Source organism: Homo sapiens, chromosome 20, assembly GCF_000001405.40.
Source record: "Homo sapiens chromosome 20, GRCh38.p14 Primary Assembly".
NCBI lineage: Eukaryota > Metazoa > Chordata > Mammalia > Primates > Hominidae > Homo > Homo sapiens.
The window spans coordinates 56,406,363-56,429,780 of NC_000020.11; the positions used below are offsets into that span (position 1 = coordinate 56,406,363).

At 45.0% G+C, this 23,418-nt stretch overlaps 1 protein-coding gene across 5 annotated transcripts in view; it reads left to right on the forward strand.

Moving 5' to 3' along the window:
• The first annotated feature begins 5,673 nt into the window (after positions 1-5,673).
• The window catches only part of CASS4 (Cas scaffold protein family member 4), a 48,347-nt gene continuing 30,602 nt past the window's right edge, over positions 5,674-23,418 (forward strand). For 3 of the 5 annotated variants that reach the window (NM_020356.4, NM_001164115.2, NM_001164114.2), the window contains exon 1: positions 5,898-6,132. In NM_020356.4, coding sequence (NP_065089.2) covers positions 6,097-6,132 — 36 coding nt within the window. In that variant the 5' untranslated portion in view covers positions 5,898-6,096. Of the gene's footprint in view, positions 5,853-5,897; positions 6,133-23,418 lie in introns of those variants that run through there. The other 2 variants (NM_001164116.2, XM_006723831.4) reach the window with 1 other exon arrangement.

Here is a 23,418-nt window from a genome sequence, read left to right on the forward strand (position 1 = left end):
TAAGCTAGTTTATTTTTTTTGGAACTTACTTTGAACATTTCCCACATTTGAACATCTGTTCTCAAACAGCAGTTATGACTTTGGTACTGTTCACCCTTTCTTTAGTGCTTTGTTCCAGAAGTCAGGTTTTTATAGCTGGATCACCTTTAGCTCTTTATCTTTGCTCCTCTGCTCTCTATGAATTTTTCTTTTTTTGAAACGAATTCTCACCCTGCCGCCCAGGCTGGAGTGCAATGGCGCGATCTCGGTTCACCGCAACCTCCGCCTCCCAGGTTCAAGCGATTCTCCTGCCTTAGCCCCCTGAGTAGCTGAGATTACAGGCGCGTGCCACCATGCCTGGCTAATTTTTTCTATCTTTAGGAGAGACAGGGTTTCGCCATGTTGGCCAGGCTGGTCTTGAACTCCTGACCTTCTGATCTGCCCACCTTGGCCTCCCAAAGTGCTGGGATTACAGACGTGAGCCACCGTGCCCGGCCGCTCTCTGTGAAGTTAAAGAACTTGAGTATAATTCAGTTTTTTGGCTTATTCAGAGAACGCTATCTTTGCTTACACTTTGGTTTTCCTTAGGAAGAGCAATGTGAGAGAGTCCAGTCTCAGCTCTGTTACTGACTTGGTAAGTAATAGGGCAAGTCATTTTTCTGGGATACAGCTTCCTTTTCTGCGATTAAAGGGCTTAATGAAAAAAATCTCCAGCATGCACTTCAACCTGTAAAGCTCTTTGTTTTCATGCCTGATGATACAAACAGACTTCAGGGAGGGAGGAAGCCATTGTTCCTAAGCGGGAGACATCTGTTTCTAAAAAGGTAACAAACCAGATATTTCCAGAGCCCTTTCAATTCAAACCTGGATAGAACTTTTTTTAAATCTCTAATAGTTAGCTGAGACAGCAAGAAAGAAGGAATTCCTGAGGGGCAGAACAAAGCACAAATCCAGAGGATTCGCAGTGCTGGAGCACTGAGTAGGTCAGTTCCTGTAACCTACTCATCTCTGAGCAGAAGTCAAAGCTCTGAGTCTTCATGGAGGAGGAACTTTGGTCAAGACCCAGAAAGCCTGGAACCCCAAAGGTGCCCCTTCAGTAAAAGGATGAACTTGACAAAAACCTGCCTCAGAGAAAGACGAGAAATCTGCCTGCTTGGTGCTGGCTCAGGGGTTTTCGGAGAGAGGGTGTCTGGTGTTGGCACAAGGGAGGGTCTCCTGAGAATTCGGTCCACGCACTGTTCCTCATGCAGGTTTGGAACAATTTACGCTACCTGTACTGCTCAGAGAAAATCAAATGGGGATCTTAAAGCAGTCTCCAACTGATGGTGGCCACAAGTATCTGGCAGAGGCCAGCACGAATTTTCTGTGCAAGAACACGTCTTAACCCCAGTCCTCCCTCTATCCCAGATAAACCTCTGAGGATCATGAACTCACAGTCAGGTACGTGAGGAAACAAGCCACCCTGATAAGAATCAGCAAAAATAACATAATCAGACTTGCAAGGACCTAGTGGAATTACCAGACACAGATTAAATTCAGAGAACTAAAACAGTAACTAAAATGGGACCAAGGGGCGGGCGTGGTGGCTCACGCCTGGAATTCCACACTTTGGAAGGCCGAGGCTGTGAGATGGCTTGAGGTCAGGAGTTCGAGACCAGCCTGGGCAATAGGGCAAAACCTCATCTCTACCAAAAATACAAAAATATTAGCCGGGTGTAGTGGCGCACACTTGTAGTCCCAGCTACTCAGGAAGCTGAGGCATGAGAATCGCTTGAGCCAGGGAGATGGAGGTTGCAGTGAGCCAGGATCAAGCCACTGCACTGCAGCTTGGGCAACAGAGCGAGCCTCTGTATCAAAATAAAAATGGGACCAAGGATTAAAAAACTTGCACAAGGCCAGGCGCCGTGGCTCACACCTGTAATCTCAGAACTTTGGGAGGCTGAGACCGGCGGATCACCTGAGGCCAGGAGTTCAAGACCAGCCTGACCAACATGGAGAAACCCCATCTCTACTAAAAATACAAAAACATTAGCCGGGTGTGGTGGCACATGCCTGTAATCCCAGCTACTCAGGAGGCTGAGGCAGGAGCATCGCTTGAACCCGGGAGGCAGAGGTTGCGATGAGCCGAGATCGCACCATTGCACTTCAGCCTGGGCAACAAGAGCGAGACTCCATCTAAAAAAAAAAAAAAAAAAACTTGCACAAGGGACTGGGCAGGTTTGAATTAAAGAATAAGACTTGTGGAAAACCTCCTATTGGAATGTTTCTCTAGTTTTCATCGTGAATTGCTTTGGCCTTTCCCTGGAGCTCTTAACTGTTGGCCTTCCTGCTCCCTGACTGGATATTTGACTCTATGAAGCCTCTTTCACAGGCGTCTTTTGGCCAAGCAACTCCTCGCCACTCTGTCTGCTCCCCAGTAACGACCGCTTGCCTGGGGCATCATTTTCTCTCTGGCTTTTTCTTGCTCTCCTGCCGGCATTCAGCCTTTCCCTCCAGCTTCCTGTCCCCACTCTGTCCCCAGAGCATTTCCTTTGCATCCTTGTTTTCAATTCTTGCCCTAATTCCTTTTCCCTCCCAACCTGGGGGTCAAAACTTGGGTGATAAAACTAATCACTAATAACTAGAGTGGCTGCAGATTCCCCAGCCCTCCCAGTATTATCCCTGCAGCAGAATATTTGGTGAATTTGTGGGCAATTCATGAAATTCTTTTTTTTCTTTTTTCTTTAAGACAGTCTCACTCTCGCCCAGGCTGGAGTGCAGCGGTGCGATCTCCACTCTACTGCAGCCTCCACCTCCCGGGTTCAAATGATTCTTGTGCCTCAGCCTCCCAAGTAGCTGGGATTATAGGCATGCACCACCACGCTCGGCCAATTTTTGTATTTTTTGTAGAGATGGGGCTTCGCCATGTTAGCCAGGCCTGGCCTCAAATGATCTGCCTGCCTCAGCCTCCCAAAGTTCTGGGATTACAGACCTGAGCTGTCTTGCCCAGCCAATTCATGAAATTCTGCTTTGGTCAAAAGAGCTATTTTTATGAGTAATCTTCATGAGATTACAGCCTGAAACTTCCCGCCAAGCCTTTAATGTTTTGAACATTGTAAGTCTGGTGTTCAGCTGTCCTTTATAATTCAAATATCGAGTGCCCAGTGTTTCACTACTACCAGTCAGGGAGCTTGATATTCACATGAAAACAACATAAAAGCATACAGAAAAACATGCAAAAGCAATTTTCCTCCCTACGCATGTATAAGGCACTATAGAAGTGAATTGGTCAGACTCACTTGTCTCAGAAAAGAAAATTCGGTCCAAACTACTGTTCTTGATAGCACATTTGCCAAGAGCATTAAGATTACCTCACTAGAGTCCTTCTGACGTAGTTCCCTTGAACTCCAGCTGTTTCAGCCTTCAGACAACCGGATATTATGCAAGCACCCAGTTTCCTAGACTAATAGTTCTTGCAATGTTTGTCCACATTAAAGGCTCATTTGCCTTAAAATACTAATGGATTGCAGCAAAATGTCTAAGGCAGTTTCTCACACCTTTCATTCAGAAAAACCATAGAGGGCTCAAATAACAGACCGAGAGGTCAAGTTCCTTATTCACAAAATATCAAACTAGGTATCTATGTAGGAGCTAGTTGATATAATTTCAGGGCCAAAGCCTATTACTTTTGTGTCTTACTTTTCTAGTTGAGGTTGTTTTCCCTAGAAAAAACAACTTGTGAATTATAGCATTCTGATCTGTATTATGAGCTTAAGGGCAGGCTCTTCAGTATAGGGAAGAATCACTGCCGGGAGTCTGCCAAGTTGATGGAAACCATCTGAACTTGAGTTACTGTGGAGTCTTTTCTAAGAGACTTGAATTCAGTTTCTGGGTCTGTTACTTTACTCTGTGACCTTGGGCAAGTTTATCCATCCTTCCTTTTCATTACAGAGAATTTCAGACATAAAAGTCAACAATACAGCAGAAACAGTGGTTTCCAGGGGCTGGGGGAAGAACAAGTAACTGCTAATGGGGTAAATGTCCAGGAATTGAAAGAGGATTACTTTTTGAAATGGTGGTTGCACAACTCTGAATGTACTAAAAACCACTGAATTGTATACTTCAAAAAGGTGCATTGGCCAGGTGCGGTGGCTCACACCTATAATCCCAGCACTTTGGGAGGCTAAGGCAGGTGAATGACGAGGTCAGGAGATCAAGACCATCCTGGCCAACATGGTGAAACCCTGTCTCTACTAAAATACAAAAAAATTAGCCGGGCATGGTGGCACGCACCTATAATCCCAGCTACTTGGGAGGCTGAGGCAGGAGAATCTCTTGAAACCTGGAGGTGGAGGTTGCAGTGAGCCGAGATTACACCACTGCACTCCAGCCTGGTGACAGAGCAAGACTCCGTCTCAAAAAAAATAAATAAATAAAGGTGAATTTTATGGTACCTGAATTATATCTTAATATAATATTAATATATTATTATTAATATAATTTATATCTTAATATCTCTATGGATCTCCTCCTTGAACCAAACTGTTCATTGCGTGGGGTCATTGTTCCCTCCCTGTTATCTGCTATCGCCTGCAGCATGCCAATTACTTGGCCCTGAAGTTAATTTCTAACAATGATAACATTTAAAAATGTGGACTGTCTCAGCCAGAAATCAGTCAGCTACTTCAATGGGTAAATACATCCTGGTGCCCAGACTTGTGGGGACGACACATGGGACAACCAGAGGACAAGACGCTAAGTGCTATCTGTTGAACTTGCCTCAGAGGTGTGGTAAAAGAAAAGAAAATTTAAAAATAAAAAATTAAAAAATGCTGTCTGACAAGAAGATAGCGGTAAGCTATCCCCCACAGCTGGTTGGGGATAGAACTTGAGCCTGGCTTGGAAGAATGGGCACCATTTTGTCTAAATAAAAATGCAGGCCGGGGCCAGGCGTTGTGGCTCACGCCTGTAATCCCAGCATTTTGAGAGGCTGAGGTGGGTGGATCACTTGAGGTCAGGAGTTTGAGACCAGCCTGGCCAACATGGTGAAGTCCTGTCTCTACTGAAAATACAAAAATTAGCCAGGCGTGGTGGCGGGTGCCTGTAATCCCAGCTGCTCTGGAGGCTGAGGCAGGAGAATCACTTGAACCCGGGAGGTGGAGGTTGCAGTGAGCCGAGATTGCGCCACTGCGCTCCCACCTGAGTGACAGAGAAAGACTCCGTCTCAAAAAAAAAAAAAAATGCAGACTTATTTTGCTCAGTGTCTGCTATGCTGTAGGTCCTCTCTAGAGATTGGATCTGAATTTAGGAAAAGTAAAAAGAGTTGGCAAGTGATGATAAACTGCATGAGCTAGCAGGGGTTTCAAGTACAACACACACGATAAGTTTATTTGATTTAAGAGAGAGAATACAGGTGCGGGGCTCAGCATAGCCCTCAGTGCAGAGCCAGTACCCAGAAGATGTTATTCATTAGGTACCATGAGCAAAGACCAGGAGATGAGCATGGGGTTCCGAGCAGGGTGAATGCACAACTGACAGGGTGGGTAGAGTGGAGACTGTGTCCTTTAAGGCAGCCTGTTTGACTGCTTTTATCCTGGCTGTCATAAGGCAAGTTTTAGGGAGCAGGAAGGAAGAAATGCTGACCGCTATCAGAAATTTGGCCTAGTGGCCTCTCATCAGGGAAATGAGCTTGGTCTGTTCGGTTGGAGTTGTTCCACAGAGTTCAAAGGACAAGAATGCTGTGTGTTCATACACTGAGCTCTTCGAAGTAGGAACTTCGCCCTATAAAGCAGAAGAGTGGTGTTTTTTTCTTCTTCTTCTTCTTTTGTGGTTTCACATAGCAAATGAGTGACAGTCTCTACTTACAGACAAAGTGAGACGTCAGGCATTGAGACGTGAGTGTGGCTTGTATTTCTGGTCCTCCCCTGCTTCACTGCTTTCATTTTACTCTTATCGTGCTTTCCAGAAAGTTTGCCTGCTGGGAGAGTCTTTTTGATCGTTTCCCATGTGTTGTCAGATAGCTCCATAGAATTCAGTTTCTGAGAACCAGCCAGAAGCATGCAGTGACATTGCACAATCTGCCTCTGAAGCTGGAGATACTAGCTGCAGAGCTCAGGGGAGCTGCTCCACATCACCGACATGAAGGGAACAGGCATCATGGACTGTGCGCCCAAGGTGAGTGATGTGGGGCTGTTTGAATGGGCTCTGGCGGGGAGCAAGCTGTGATGATTAAGGGTGTTGACCAGCTTTAGTTGTGACTTTCTAATAAAGGTTGAATACCAGTGACGTGTGAGTTGGAGATGGGAAAGTTTAACATAAGTTTAAGTGTGGGAAATAGATGTGTTGTAAAGCTCCTTACCAGTTTGCATCCAAGATGGGTGAAAATGACTTTGTAGTAGAAATCAGCTTACTTGGTTGACAGCGCCGTCCATCATTTTGCGTCCAGCAAACTCCTGAAGCAAGATGCGAGTCTGCCTCAGCCCCCGCTAATTCCTTCTTTCTCTGGACCCCAAAGACACTCAGTGCCACTCTAACTGTCCTATTTGGTTTCTGTGCTCACCTCCCAACAGCAGAGCCCAGACCCTTGCCTGCAGCCTCCCGTGCTGAGCCCACAGTGGGCACTTACATGTTATTTTCATGTTAACTTGTGCATTATGTGAGCAAAGCTGGAGCTTTCAGACAGACTTCATGCCTGTCATGAATCAAAAAAGATTCACTATTTAGAAAGGTGAAAGAAGCCAGGCACGGTGGTACATACCTGTACTCCAGCTACCGGAGAGGCTGAGGTGAGAAGATTAATTCAGCCCAGAAGTTTGAGTCCAGCCTGGGCAACATAGCGAGACCCCATCTTAAAAAAAAAAAAAAGAAAAGAAAAGTTAAAATGGCTACCATATTAAAAAAAAATTTACCCAGACATAAAGAAAGTGAAGCTCAAGGTTGTGTTTTCATCTTGCTATGCCCTTTTTAAATTTTAAGTAGAACAGGAAAAAAGAAATGAAACAAGCAGTAAATGGGGAGCTTGCTTATAAAAATCAATGCTTATTTTTCATTATAATAAAAGTGACTAGTGTGGCTGTCTGCGGTGGCTCACACCTGTAATCCCAGCACTTTGGGAGGCCAAGGCAGGTGGATCACTTGAGGCCAGGAGTTTGAGACCAGCCTGATCAACATGAAAAAACCCCATATCTACCAAAAATACAACAATTAGCTGAGCGTGGTGGCGCATGCCCGTGATCCCAGCTACTCGGGAGGCTGAGGCACAAGAATCGCTTGAGCCTGGGAGGCAGAGGTTGCAGTGAGCTGAGATTATACCACTGCATTCCGGCCTGGGTGACAGAGCAAGACTCTGTCTCAAAAAAAAAAAAAAAAAAAAAAAAAAAGTCACTAGTGGAATTTGTGACTGAGTAACCCATGACAGTCTCTCTTGTATAGATTATATGTAAATATCTTAGCTACCCTAGAATTTTGTCCCCAACTACTTACTTTGAAAAATTTCAAACCATTGGAAAAATATGGGAAGCGTGGGGGTTATTCAGTAAATCCCTGCATATCCTTCACCTAGATCATTGGTTTCTGGTACTTTGTCATATTTGTGTGCATTTATTTGTGTATATTTAGACACTGGAACACACTTCATTTTTATTGTTGTTGTTAAACTCTTTGAAAATAAATGGCCAATACAATGACGCTCCACCCCTAAACTTCATTATGTGTCTCCTAAGAACAAGGACATTCATCTACAGAACGTAGAAGAATATCTACATATCATCATACCCAAGAACATTTCACATTTATTTAATAATGCCTTTCTACTATTCAGTCTAATTCACGTTGATTTAATAATGCCATTCTACTATTCAGTCCACATTCACATTTTCCAAAATTATCCTTTTTAGCTTTTCTGGCTGTTGTTGTTTGTGTGTGTGTTTGTCTTTCTGATCCAGGTGGTGTTTGTCAATTCTCAGTTCTTAATCTAGAACAATCTACTACCTTTTTCTCTTTCATAACATTGACCTTTTTTCTAAACAGCCTAGATTTTTTATGATTTAGACTTCTTTTTATGTACTGCTTATTCTGCCTAAATAATTTATGTAGCGCTTTACAATTGGGTGGGGTTTTGTTATTTAAAAAAAATATTTTTAGCAATGGGGGTATCACTCTGTTGTCCAAGCTGGACTCAAATTCCTGAACTCAGGTGATTCTTCTGCCTCAGCCTCCCAAGTACAGGATTACAGGTGCACACCACCGAGCCCCACTGCAATTTGTAAATAACATGCATGTTTGCATAGAACATATAATTGATATTCCCAGCATCCCCATGAAATTCTGCTATTAATATTATACAGATAGGCCGGGAGCGGTGGCTCATGCCTGTAATCCCACCACTTTCAGAGGCTGAAGCGTGTGGATCACCTGAGGTCAGGGGATTAGCCTGGCCAAAATGGTGAAACCCCATCTCTAGTAAAAATACAAAAAAATTAGCTGGGCATAGTGGTGCACGTCTGTATTCCCAGCTACTCGGGAGGCTGAGGCAGGAGAATTGCTTTATATATATATATAAATAGTAGCCAACCCTTACCGATTGTCTACATGTGAGGCCCTGTGCTGAGTGCTCTACTTGCATTTTCTCACTATTACATCCTCACAACATCCTCATGAAGCAGAGGTATTATTCCCCTGTCACAGACGAGGAAACGAGGCCTCGCTGACTTGCCCAAGGCCATACAGCTAGTAGGTGGCAATGCCAGGAATCAACCCCAGGCAGACTAAGCTCAGAGCTCCATTCTTAGCTCATTATATTCTCTCCCTTGTACCAGGGGTTGGCAAACTCTTCATAAAGAGTCAGATAGTATTTTATGCTTTGCAGGCCAAATACAATCTCTGTTGCATATGGTTGTTTGTTTATGCAGTCCTTAAGATATGTACAGTCATTCTTCACTTATGGGTCATCCATCTAGATTTGGTCCACAGGCCCTTGTGTAGCAGCCTATGTCATCTCAGTTTACGTAGGCCACCCCCACCCACCCACGCAGTACCAGGAAACACCCAAGTTGTCGACACCTAGTTCAGAGGCATCCTCAGTTAACTGTTTCTTGGGTGTCCCTACAGAAACTATCAATGCATCTATAAGATACATGTTTTAAGGTTTTACACAAATAGGAGCTGTAAGTAAAGATCTGTTGAGCTTCTTGCCTTTAGCAACTACCAATACGTACTGGTGTTCAGTTCATATTAGTGCAGTTGATCCATCTCATTAATCTTAATGCCTACATTGTTGCTCAATTGCTTTATAAATGGTAGCACAATGCTTCAAGGGGTCATGTCATGTCAGTGGTCCTTAGCTTTGGGGCATTCGCCTTTAAAACAACCCTGCCTTTCATTCAGGGCCACCGCAGATAGCCTTTCAGACCCTGAAGTTCGCCTTTGTACATCGTATGGTAAACAGGGACTGTTCTCGCAAGCTGTTCCTAATTCTACCTGCTGGCCAGTAGCTCCGTTGCCAGTAGAGCTGCTTTCACCTTTGTGCATGGCAGATTTTGTGTAATATCCAGACTGATTTATTCTATTTTTTAAAAATTGTTTTATAGAACAAGGCGAAATTTTTTTAAAACACGTGATATTAGTGATAGGAAACACTGGCCTCAAAGGTGGTAAATTTAACACCTCATTCATTGGTTTGTGGAACTCTAGCCAACTAGTCAACTCCATTCAAGAAATACTAGAAATTTAGTTTTCGTGGGTTTTTTTGAGGTGGAGTTTCACTCTGTCGTCCAGGCTGGAGTGCAGTGGCATGATCTTGGCTCACTGCAACCTCCACCTCCCAGGTTAAAGCAATTCTCCTGCCTCAGCCTCCCAAGTAGCTGGGATTACAGGCATGTGCCACCATGCTCAGCTAATTTCTGTATTTTTAGTAGAGACGGGTTTTCACCATATTGGCCAGGCTGGTCTCGAACTCCTGACCTCAAGTTATCTGCCTGTCTCAGCCTCCCAAAGTGCTGGGATTACAGGCGTGAGCCACTGCGCCCAGCCAGAAATTTAGTTCTAAAAGAACTAAAATTGTCTAAAAGACAAGGAGGATAAGTGGGCTTATTATACGTAAGTTCTTATTTTGGATTTTTGGTAGTTTCAAGATGCCTTAGTTACGAAAATAGAGTCTGCAATGTACTTTAGTGATTCAGTCCTGTTTGCTATAAATTCTGTTTACTTCCGTGTGTGTGTGTGTGTGTGTGTGTGTGTGTATGCACACATGCCATTACAGGTAATATTGAAATTAGCATCTTCATACACAGCCCTTTTTTCCCCAATAACATGATTTTCTCACTGGAGTAAATGTCCAGGAATTGAAAGAGGATTTTACTGAATGAAATAAGCTTTGGCACTTATTTTCCATCATTTTCTGAGAATTTCTGATATTTGATTCTATTTTAAACCTACTTTCCCCAGTATTTTCTCTACAATCTGTACTTTCTTTTATAAAGACAGCTATGTGCTCATTCAGTTTTCTGAAGGCATTTTTCAAGCAAGCATCTTTACTATGTTACTGAAGAGTGGATGGTCCAATATTTATACTGTAAGAACATTTAAATGTGATTATCTTTCACATTTTAAATTCAGCCTCAATTAAAGAGCAAATCTTTTTTGTCTCTCTCCCATCTCAACTCTGAGTGGCATGGTTTTGGACCCACTCAAGAAGGATCAAGGTAAAAATGTAGAATTTTTTAAAAAATCTTCCACATCTCAAGGTTGGTTTAAACACGACAAAATGTGTTGGCTTGGAAGTGTGTACCACTTGCTGGGACTTGGCTTGCTTCAGTGCTTCTGGGCAAGAAAGCCTGGTGAGGCTTCGTTTGTGAGTGGAGAGCAGTTTTAGGTTCTCTTTGTACCTTTAGCAGCTCTGAGGTGGTGAGCAAGACATTTCAAACTCAGTCTTTGTTGAAGGGCAAATGGGATTGTGTGCAGAAAGCTGACCTGGCCCTTCAGGGCCCATTAGATCCCACTCCGAGCAGCTCTCCTGCCTCAGTTCCTTCCCCTTCTCCCCTGCTGTTCCCCGCCTTGGATTCTTCTCTCTCTAGCAAGCATCGCCTCACCCAGAGGCCTCTCTGGACCACGCTGTGCAAATCACTTCCCCCCTACACAGGCCCACCGCCAACACTCTCATCTATCTTACCTTCACTTATTAAGATCTGAAATTATCTCACTTTGTTTGTTCCTCTGTCTTCCTCTCTGGGAACGAAACTCCATGAGGGACAGACCTGGGCTTTCTTACTCAGTGCTGCATCTCCGGTGCCTACAACAGTGCCTGCACAAAGTAGTTGCTCAATACATGCTTTGTGGTAGTGTGTGAACGAATGGGAGCTTACAGGGAGTGCAGGTGGAGCCCTGGCTGCAGCCCCGCTGTGAGGATAGGAACAGCACTACTTTCTAGTCAGCAGGTGTTTGGCAACGGAGGTCATTCCTGACTCTCAGCTCTCTAACCCCTACCTGGCGTCAGCCTAAGCTGCCACTCAGCCTGTTCTCTTGACAATTGTCCCCCTCCTTGTCCATGGTCAGATGTTGCCTTAGATGCAAGCTGTTGCTATTGAAATCAAGGTCACAAAGACCTGTAGCCTCCCTCCAGCATTTCCCAGCAACTTCCTCCCTTCATCTATTCCACGAGGCAAAACAGCCCAGACACAACACCCAACTCGAAAACACAGCTCACCATCCATGCCTCAGCCATTCACCCAATGCATAGTTATTGGGCTCCGGGGGTTCAGGGTGATCAAGACAGAGCTGACATTCCAATGGAGTGAGCATGACAGTGAGTAAATAGACCCATGGTTTCAGGTGGTGAGAACTGCCAGAAAGAGGAGAAAACAGGGGGATCTGATGGAGGCGATGGATGGAAAAGGCCACTCTGAACACCCAAGAGATGGGAAAAGCTTTCCAGGAAGAGGGAACAGCAGATGCCAAGGGCCTGCAGTGGGAAGGTATTCAGCATAGTACAGGGCCCCTGTAAAGACCCATGGGGTCAAAGAAGAGTAAACCAAGAGAGAGAGGGGTCAGAAGTGAGATCTGAGGTGTAAGCAGGATAACATAGGGCCTGGTCGGCCGTGTAAGAGCTTTGAAGCCATTCTAATTGCAAAGGAAACCACCAGCCCACTTAAAGCAGGAGATGACATGATCTAATTTATGTTTTCTAGATCACTCAGGCTGCTGTGCAACAGATGGGCTGTAAGTAGGAAAGAGCAAAAGCTGGTAAACGTGGAGACTTCAGTGTAGGTGGCTTCATTTTCCACTGGGGTGGTACCCTGCTCTTCTCCATGGACACGAAGGAGAATCGTGTACTCTGTCTTTAAAAAAGTAGAACTTTTGATGTTTGAGACCGCTGGTCGCCGTGTCGGGTGGGGAGTGGTTGTGAGCAGAAAAAATAGTAAATCAAGGAGTAGATAGCTTCTATTTATGTGTGTTACGTTTGATTCAGGAACACAATGTACCTTTCATTCCGTCAACAAATATTGAATGCCTGCTGCACACCAGGCACTGTTCTAAATGCTTCCAAGTCCAAGTGCCTGGTCCCCTTTCTCCATATGTAGTAAATAATTATTATGACTAATAAAAAATCCATCACATACTCATTATTGGTTCCCCTGTTTAATCACCTGTAGTCTTTGAACATTTTATTTCCTATAGAGCACACTTGGGGGGAAAAAAAGCTAAGGAGAATGCCACCATCACCCCAAAACTTAAAAGGTCTGAGAATAGACAGGCATTGGCCGACACGATAATGGAATGGGGAAGCAACTGTAGAATCAAAACAGGGCCGTTTTGGAATTGCGATGACTAAGGGAGGAAATGACAGGGGCCTGAAGGGGAAATAGCTTAAAAGGAGGAAGGTGGGAGGCTGGTAAGAGAGCTGCCACGGAGGGGGAGATTAGAACACTCCAACTTGAGTTGCAAAAAAAGGAAATACATTTTTTAGGAACCATTTCCAAACATAACGCCTATGAAGTGTTTGTTCAGGGGAAGAGCAGCCTTGTACACACACCTACGAAAAGCATAGTCGACACTGAGAAGACTGAGAAGAATATGCGTGGCCTCTTGTTCCTGGGAAAGCATCCCCAGCTCTCAGTGTGGGAGATCCTGCACTTCCCCCACACCACCCCCGCTCAGGCTGGAGTACAGTGGCACAATCTCAGCTCAGTGCAACCTCAGCCTCCTGGCTTAAGTGATCCTCCCACCTCAGCCTCCCAAGTAGCTGGGGCTTCAGGCATGCACCACTGTGCCCGGCTAATTTTTGTATTTTTAGTAGAGGTGGGTTTTTTTTCACCATGTTGCCCAGGCTGGTCTCGAACTCCTGTTTTTAAGTGATTGGCCCACCTCAGCTTCCCAAAGTGCTGGGATTACAGGCGTGAGCCACCGTGCCCGGCTAGGCTCTGCACTCTTAAAACTCCTCTAGGAGGCCAGGCACAGTGGCTCATGCCTGTAATCCCAGCACTTTGGGAGGCCAAGGCAGGTGGATCATCTGAGGTCGGGAGTTCAATACCAGCCTGACCAACATGGAGAAACCCCATCTCTACTAAAAACACAAAAATTAGCTGGGCTTGGTGGTGCACGCCTGTAATCCCAAATACTCAGGAGACTGAGGCAGGAGAATCGCTTGAACCCAGGAGGCGGAGGTTGTGGTGAGCCGAAATCACGCCATTGCACTCCAGCCTGGGCAACAAGAGCGAAAACTCCATCTCAAAAACAAACAAACAAAAGAAAGCTCCTCTAGGAGATGAGTGTGGACTGTGAAAAAGTTATTCACAGGCAATTTGAGGCCACCTACCTGGCCACTCAGAGAGTTTCTCCACGAGTTTATGTTAGTGAATGTATTGTTCTTTTCCTTTGAACAACTGCTTCACCTTATCATCAAGAGCAGCTTTTGTTTGCTCTACATGTTCTGGACAGCCCAGGCAGTCTGTCTTTTGTGGGGTTAGGGAGGGACAGGGGGCAAAAGAGCAGTAGGGTCATCCCTGTGTCTTGGAGGTGTTTGCCATCTGGTTAACAGTAAGTGAAAAGTGCTTTGTGGAATGTTCACTTTGGGTTCAGAAATTTTCTTTTAGAGACAGGGTCTCACTTTGTCACCCAGACTGGAGTGCAGTGGCGTTATCATAGTTCACTACAACCTCAAACTCCTGGGCTCAAGCAATCCTCCTGCCTCAGCCTCCCAAGTAGCTGAGACTACTGGTGCACGCCACCATGCCCATCTAATTTTTTTTTTTTTTTTTGTAGAGATGAGGGGCTCTCCCTATATTGCCCAGGCTTGTCTCGAACTCCTGACCTCAAGCAGTCCTCCTGCCTCAGCCTCCTAAAGCACTGAGATTACAGGAGTGAGCCACCACACCCGGCCCAGGTTCAAAAGTGAGAGTCTCCCCACGGTTGAAAGGGGAATAGAAGCACAAGAGTCAGTAATCAATAACAAACAACTCAAGGTGCTCCTTCCTTACACTGGTGTTCCCCAAAGTGAGGTGAATTGCCAGCCACTGGGAGTCAGGGCCAGTTACATAAGACATTCTCGGTAAGCCCCCTTTGGGTATCCCAAATAAGGACTGGGGTGGGTTTATGTGTAGTCCATTATTAACAACTAAACGAACAAACCTAGTGAATTGCAATAAATTCACACCAACAGAACAAAAGAAGAAAAGCTTAAACAAAAGAGTGGCTCCTTGCTTTCCTGAAGCACCTCTAAAAATGACCATAGAAAGATGGAAAAGTTTGGTGAACAAGCCTGAACCTTCACTCATTTCTCTGTCATGCATTAAACAGCTTGAGCCAGCTTTGAATTCTTCCGGGTCAATCAAATGGAAGTGCCCTGACTGCAGGCATGCCAGAGGATTTCAAGTGTGGTGCACAGAACAGTTTTTGTACAATACTGGTGTATCTTGATTTGCATTCAAACAAACTAAAACTAGCTCATCAAACCTGTAATTTCATGGGTAACATCGCTGAGGGACAGTTGTTTTTTAATTGACTCAATTTGTTATTTTACCTAAAAAATTGTAGTGGCACGTGGATATGACAGGAAGCAGGCAGTTGCTAGACACAAAACCCTTTAGAAACACAGGCTGGGGGCTGGGTGTGGTAGTCCACGCCTGTAATCCCAGCACTTTGGGAGGCTGCAGTGGGAGGATCGCTTGAGCCCAGCTGTTGGAGACCAGCCTGGGCAACATAGCGAGACTATCTCTACAAAAAATTTTTAAAAGTAGCTGGGTTTGGTGGCTCATGCCTGTAGTCCTAGCTACTTGAAAGGCTGAGGTGGGAGGATCGTTCGAGCCCAGGAGTTCGAGGCTGCAGTGAGCTGTGATCGCGTCACTGCAGTCCAGCCTGGGTGACAAAGTGAGACCCTGTCTCTAGAAAAGAAAAGAGAAAAAGAAACACAGGCTTAGACAAAGTTTTCTTCTAATTGGTGTCGGCATAATTGCTTACGACCCATCAAATAACACAAAACTCCTTCTTTCTTTATGCCTTTCCTCACTTTTTTCCTTAAAAAAAGAAAAAAGGAAAGAGGGAAGGAAAGGAAAGGAAGTTAGAGAGAAAAGCACCTGCATGTTATTTTCTCTGTAATCCCTCAGATGGCTTTCATGAACTAAGAGGTAAGAGTAAGAGAAGAATTCATGGGAAATGTAGATTTTGCAGCTGGATGGGAACTTTGGCGATTGCCCTGGGAAGCTATCTCACTTTCAGGTGAAGAAACTGAAACCCAGAGAAGTTCTGTTACTTGCCTCCTCCTTCGGTGGGTTTTTCATGAGCAAGGGTGAAATTGTCAGCCCCTTGACTTGATCCAACAGTTCCCCAAACCAAATATCTTAAGCAATAACTCAGGGACTTAGCTGGCAAGGAATAGACTTGGCGGTGGCAGGCAGTGGCAAGGCTGTGAATGAACACACTACGATCTCTGGAGCACTTTGAGTTGGAGAATGCAGTCTGGTATGACATGGGCCCATCTTGGGCCACATCCATGATAATCAATTATGTGAAGGCCTGAGAGACCTTTATTGTTGCATCATTTCAATCCTGAGCTTAGATCAAGGAAACCAGTCACCTGTTCCCCCGGTGTATATTGTCAGACATACAGTAGGTGCTTGATAAATAATTGCCAATTCAATGAAGCCTTAAGTGCAGCTTAGCAAGGTTTCCATGAGTAGAGGAAGTATATTAAAGCATGTCGATCTGGGTAACACCCAAACCTGCTGGAAAAGCACAGTATTCAGGTATCAGGGAAGCAAATGTTTCATTTCCACTGGGTGGCTTTGGAATTTTTTTCTGGCCACAACCTCCTCCTCAAAGCCCCGTTAGTAGGCAGTGCCTCCTACAGCTGCGGAAGTTCCTTTAATGTGTGGCTTTTTCATCTGAATCATCAGGAAGAATTCAAAGCTGGCTGGGTCAGAGTTCAATGTTATCATGGAGAACCAGTTAAAGTTTGCGTTTATTCACAGCATGTGCCATTCTCCACGATTATTTTTAGAGGTCTTAAGAAAATAAGGAACTCTCTTTTCATTAAAGTTTTTCTTTTTCTCTCATATCCCTCCTCATATCCAAGTTCACCCGGTTCATTCACTTCTTTGTCCCTGGTTTCTCTGGATAAACCGGCCACAAAGGCTATTTGCATCCATTTGGATGGGAGGGAACCAATGGGAGTGTGGGAGAGAATGCGTTATGTAACCAGCCCATCCTTCCCCATGGCTGGGGTGGCAGGAAGGGCAGTGAGCCTCCCCCAGGAGCTTAGAGACCCACTGGCCAGATCCACAGGCAAGGACAGCTGCAGAGAAAGTTTAGACCCAGACCTCACAGCATTCCTGCACAAACTCCTACAGAAAGATTTCCCTTCCCAAGCGACTTCTGCTGGTGTTTTCCAGGATATGGATAGTACTTTTTAAAATAGTTTCTTTAAAGGATCAAGATGAAGGTGAATGTGAGTATCTGAGTTTCTGTCTTCTGACATCCATTTCCTACAACTCTTTGATTGTGTGGGACTCTGAGTTGACTATATAAAGGGGTCCAGAGCTTGTTATTTCCAATGCTCCCCACTATATTAAGGAAGTAGGTAATGATGGTTTCCAAATGACTGTCACACCATGGGAAACAATTGAAAGTTGCATCAGGTTTTGAAACCAAAAAGGGAGACCTTATATTTTTGTTTAGAAAGTTATATTCTATTCTATTAAGTTTTGTTTTAAAGCTTAAACATTACTTTATTTTATTTATTTATTTATTTATTGAGATGGAGTGTTGCTCTGTTGCCCAGGCTGGAATGCAGTGGCGCAATCTCAGCTCACTGCAACCTCCACCTCCCAAGTTCAAGCAATTATCCTGTCTCAGCCTCCCCAGTAGTTGGGACTACAGGCATGCACCACCATGCCCGGCTAATTTTTGTATTTTTAGTAGAGTCGGGGTTTCACCATGTTGGCCAGGCTGGTCTTGAACTCCTGACCTCAAGTGATCCGCACACCTCGGCGTCCCAAAGTGTTGGGATTACAGACATGAGCCACTGCGCCTGGCCTTAAATGTTACTTAAATATAAGAGTAGTTGGAAAAAGGGAGTTTCAATTCACACTTCCAGTTAAGTAACTTTCAGATCATTTTCTGCACATTCTGGAGCTTTTCATTCAATAATTTTCACCTTTTTCAAAAACGGGGCTGAAGCAGAAACTCAGTTCTTTTCCTAGCCTATTTGGCAAATTAATATTAATCACAAAAAAAGGCAGCAGTTTCCCTTCAGCATCTCTCACTTAACTACTTTGCTAAGTTTTTTTTAAACAGCTCCAAGAGAAACAACTGTCCTTTATGTGAGATGATGCAAGAAACTACTTAGCTATCACCTCATTAAAAGAATTCAAAATATTTCTGATAATGAGATGCAGATTATTGAAGCAAAGCTGTCTCAAGTTTAACAACCTCATAAACTAATTCTCTCACACATTAGGCATGACAAATTAAAGAGATAGTTTAATCTACCTGCAAATTCTTAAAGCAAGTTCTGGTTATGAAATATACCATTTTGCTATTTTAAGTGACAATTCCTCATAACTTAAGGAATTTTACTTTTAAATGTAAATATTGATATGGAAAGCCACTGCAATTCATGGGGGAAAAGAAAAGTTAAGATACAGCTTCGGCCAGGCATGGTGGCTCACGCCTGTAATCCTAGCACTTTGGGAGGTCAAGGCGGGTGGATCATCTGAGGTCAGGAGTTCGAGACCAGCCTGGCCAACATGGGGAAACCCCGTCTCTACTAAAAATACAAAAATTTGCCGGGTGTGGTGGCATGCACCTGTAGTCCCAGCTACTCGGGAAGCTGAGGCAGGAGAATTGCTTGATCCCAGGTGGCAGAGGTTGCAGTGAGCAGAGATCGCACCACTGCATTCCAGCCTGGATGACAGAGCGAGACTCTGTCTCAAAAAAAAAAAAAAAAAAAAAAATCACAGGTTCTTTCTTGGGTAACTATGTCAAAGGGGAAGGAGGCACAAGGGACAAAGAGAAGACAGGAATGAGCTGGCAAAAATGGAGGGAGGAAGGGAGAGAGAAATGAATGTTAGATGAGGGAGGAGGTGGCTGGTTGCCTGGTGCTCCCTTCTCAACTGCAGACCTCACAGCACAACTTCAGGAGTTGTAGGAGGTTTTCCAGGAGGAAAGTAGGGACATGGTTATTCTGAATGTTTTCCCCAACATCACACACATGCAACATGCAGCTACTGTGTCCTGATACTGCATATCCTAACTTTGGCCTTGGGGAACATGTCCCATCATGGGAGGCCCTCCTCTCTGGCCTGGGTCTTTGTACACAGTACTCAGATCATTCTGCAGCTGGCCAAAGGAGAGTTCAAGGATCACTGGGATAGCAGGAAGGGCAGCGAGCCTCCCCCAGGAGCTTTGAGATCCTCTCAGTGCCTCCTCAACTTGCCTGGACCAGGCCAGACAAATCTTTAAAACACTTTGAGTCTAAACTTCTGTGACTCTTAATGCACCTGCAGTTAGATCCCATTTAACAGTCATTCGTTGCCCTCTCTGTGTGGTTCCACTCTGTGGCCCTACTCTCAAGGAAGAGGTAAATGCTCACAAAATCAGCTAGTTCTCAGAAACCACTCAAGCACCTTTCAGCATCCTCCATGCTGTACACGGTCCAGGCCCTTTGAGGGATGGCCAGTGAGAAGTAGTTGACGATGTTTGGCATCCTGGAAGTTCAGGGAGGTAAGAAGTCTTCCTGCATGTGGCAAACTGCTTTTGGCCAAGATTAAGATGGACTCAAAGTCAAAATTCCTTTCTATCTAATCTAGGAGTAGAAAGGGCTTGCGTGGTAACGACAAGCAGCTGCTTAAATTCACCAGCGCAGGAGTCCTCTTCTTCCAATAGAACAGAATCCTTTGTAAATTAGATTTTTATATTGAAAAAGAATATTTACACATGGTTTTAGGAATTCCAACTGTACAAATGAACATGGACTCAAAGTGTTTTTATCTAATCCCAAACCTCTAACTCCCCAGACCCCTGTTTCCTACCCAGAAGGGACCCTCAGTGAGTGACATAATCTTCCAGAAAGATGCTATACTTATAAAAGCATCAATGCAGACCTATGCTCATCTTGCTCTTTTTAAAAAATTTAATACTACATTTTGGAGATTGTCCCGTTTCCATTGACATAAGCTCTACCTCATTCTTGTAATGGCTACATTGTACTCCATTATACAAATGTCTCCGTTTCTCAGCTTCATCTCCCTCTCCCAGGAGGCACTTTGCCATCTTGTATCTGCTAAGATGTCCACACCGTCTTGTGATAGAGTCTGTGCTAAGCAGAGTGGTTTGTAGGCTAAAAGAGCACACTCCAGACCCAAAACTGCCTGCATTCCAGTCCTGGCGTTGGCCCTTGATCGCTGAACTACCTTAAGCTACTTTCTCACCCTCTCTGTGCCTTGGCTTACTCATCTCCTAAATGAGATGTTAGTTATAGTACCTGCTTCATAAGGTTTTTGAATATCAAATGCGGTCATCAGTGCTGACTGCTTATCCCAGTGCCTGACACAGAGTTGAGAACCCGCGAGCTATCCTGATTCCCGAGGCGTTGGCTAAACAGTGGACAAGACTGACACAGTTCCTGCGTAGTTAGAGTGCGACAGACACTCCTTTCAGGGCGAACAGAATGGTTTTGTGAGGGGCTACATTGAATCTAAAAGATTAAAGAGGATTTTTCCCTCTTCTTCTTCTTCTTTTTTTTCCCCCTTCTTCTTCTTCTTTCCGCCTCCCCCTCCCCCGCCAAGACAAGGTCTCACTCTGTCTTCCAGGCTGGAGAGCAGTGGCACAATCCCGGCTCATTGCAATCTCCACCTAGCCCATGTTCAAGCCATCCTCCAGCCTCAGCCTCCCAAGTAGCTGGGATTACAGGCATGTGCCACCATGCCCAGATAATTTTTATATTTTTGGTAGAGATGAGGTTTCACCATGTTTCCCAGGCTGGTCTCAAACTCCTGAGTTCAAAGTGATCTGCTCACCTCAGCCTCCCAAAGTGCTGGGATTACAGGCATGAGCCACCGCACCCAGCCAGCTTCTCCCCCTTATTTGGTTAGTTATAGGAAAATAATACTAGCTGACACACACAGTGTGTGAGAAGTCTGTATTGTTATGTGGGGTTTGCAAAGTGAGGACACTTTCCAGATCATCTTTGCTGTAACTCCCTAAGCTAGGCATGGTGATGTGTGCCTGTAGTCCCAGCTACCTGTGAGGCTGAGGCAGGAGGATTGCTTAAGACCAGGAGTTTAAGGCTGTAGTGCACCATGATCATGCCTGTGAATAGCCACTGCATTCCAGCCTGGGCAACATAGCAAGACCCTGTCTCTTAAAAAAAAAAAAAAAAAAACCCTCTGTCACCCTTCTGGAGGTGACTTCACAGAATGTTGTTACCCACCAGAAATCCCTCCCAGAAGAAGTGTCTGTAGATACTTTGATTTTTCCTCAGGTTGTCCTTCCTCCTTCTCTGTCTTCCCTTTTTGGAGAATGTAGGTGGGAAAAATGTAGGTGGTGAGGGGATTTTTCTTACGCTCTTGGAAACTTTTTTTTAACATAATATCCTTTTAAAATGATGGAAAGTAAACATTCACAAGCCAACAGATAATACCCTTCTCTCTGCATTAATCTTTCCTAGCCTGTATTTGAATTTACATGAAATGAAATACTTCCAAGTACATTTGAAGGGAGACTATTTACTTGAAAGATGATCAAAGAGCCCTTTCTCCATTCTGCACTCTCTCGATGTTGAGTCTGGGCACAGCTACCTCATAAAAATGTATAACAGAATATGTCACTGATCTCAACATAAAAGCTCCTACATCCATGGAAATCCTTCATGAACTTCAGGGATTCACATTTCCCATGTATCAAAAGATCTGTGATATTTATAGTATATGCAGTTTTTAAAATGTGGTTTCTCTATAACTAACTATCCTTTCCTGGCCCTCAAAGGGGAAGTAGGAAGCATTCCATCACCTCGCCTGAATAGTAACTAAGAATTCTTGGAAGTAAGACATGGAATCAGTGAGAAGGAAGCCGAAATGCGAAACATGGACATTTTTCAAAGAAGGATCTTAGTAGAAGAAAAATGTCCTTCTTGGCCTTGGAGATCTACATCTTTGTACAGAGCAGGGGCCTAGACATCACTTACAGCTCTGGCTTCTTGCACAGTTACCATCTCCACCACTAGTTTGGGGAACTTCCTTATTTACCACCTCCCACTATGGACTGGTGACCTCACTGTATGATTTACCTTCCCAAAGAAAGAATGATATTCTAGGTTACTTGGATGGAAACGGTCTCATGATCTCTACTTTACTATCCCATAGTTACTACTGTTTTAATTTTAGGAGCATAAGTGTTTGGTGTCAGGCGGGCTGTGAAAGATAAAACAAGGAGGAAGCAGGATGGGGCCATGATGCTGCCCTGACCCCTGTGACAGGAAAGAGAGAAGGAGCTGGACAGAGTAGAGACAGCCTCAAACTGTGGGGCAGCTTAGACATAGTCTTGACAACTCAACAGGGGCTTTGGGGTAAAGATTGCCCATTCAGTGAGTCCTGCATTGGGCAGGAACACCCAGGCCCCCTGACTATTAACGTTGAGTTTGCAAAGGAAATCTGGATGGGGTCTCTAAGACCTCAGCTGCGGGCTGGACTCAGCAGCAGAATGCTTCACTGGGCCCAAGGAGTGATATTTTAAGATCTGCCTGAGCATGCCACAGCCTCCACCACACCCAAATGTCTTACGCCTGGCCTGTCTCACTCATGTATATTTCTTGCCCAGCTCCTATAATCCTTTGAGTTTGCTGCTTCTCCTTACAGCTGTCTTTAAACCAGCTCTTTCTGGATTTGCACACATTTGGATGTAAGAGTTAGCAGATTAGAGTAGGAAACAGACTTGGACTTGGAAAGGCCGTGCAGAGTATTGGCAATAGCAGGCTTCAGTCAGATGGATGCGAGTTTGAATCCCTGCTCTGCTACCTGCTGCTGCATGACCAGAGGCAGGTCATTAATCTCTCCTAGTCTTAGGTGCCACAAAGCACTAAAATGAGGCCAACAGAGCAATCAGTGTACCCCCCGACCTGCCCCCCAGCCCTGACATTCTTGAGTTTCTGCAGCTTTGCTCTTTTGAGTAAACTAAAGAGAAAGAAAATTGAAGGTAAAGCAGAGAAGCAAGCTGTGCATGTGGGCGAGTGCACGTGGGTGCAGTCACCCGGGCAGTGTGTCCACCCCGGCCTAGAGAGGGGATTTCCATCCCAGGAACAGGGACAATGAGGCAGCATAACTGAGGCTGCAGGAGCTGCTTCTCTCCCGGCTCATCTAAGCTGCTCCTGCCTAGAGCTGCCATGCCTGCGGATGTCTCTTATACCACCATGGATGATGAAAGTGTGCGGGCCAGTTCCCTCTCTTCTTCTTACTTTCCCTGGCCCATTCAGCAGTGCGTCCCTCCCTTCTCTGCAGTTATGCTCCTGCTCTTCTTCCAAGCATCACCTCAAGTTGCATCCAGTCCTTCACCAGCTCCTCCCCAAAACTAACAAAATCCAGCCTCTGCCCTCAGCCAAGCCACAGGCATCTCCCAGCTGGACCAGACAATTGACTTTGAATCGCCTCTCTGGCTTCCACTTGCTCCATGCACCCCATTTTCCACCCAGTAACCACCTATAAACAGCATCCGCTATGGAAATTAGGAGCCAGGGCCTTTGTTGATCTCTCTCCAGGCAACCTGGTCATTTTTCAGTTCCTCCAACTTTCCATGCGCCCCCAACACATACATACACACTCACTCATACTCACACACGCCCCCTCACCCACGCACTCCGGCCTCCACACATTCCTCTTCCTCTGCCTGAATGCTCTTTATCTGACTAACACTTTATCTGACTAACTCCTTATCTAACTCCTCCTTACCCCCAGATGGAAGCTTCCATGGCTGCTTTCT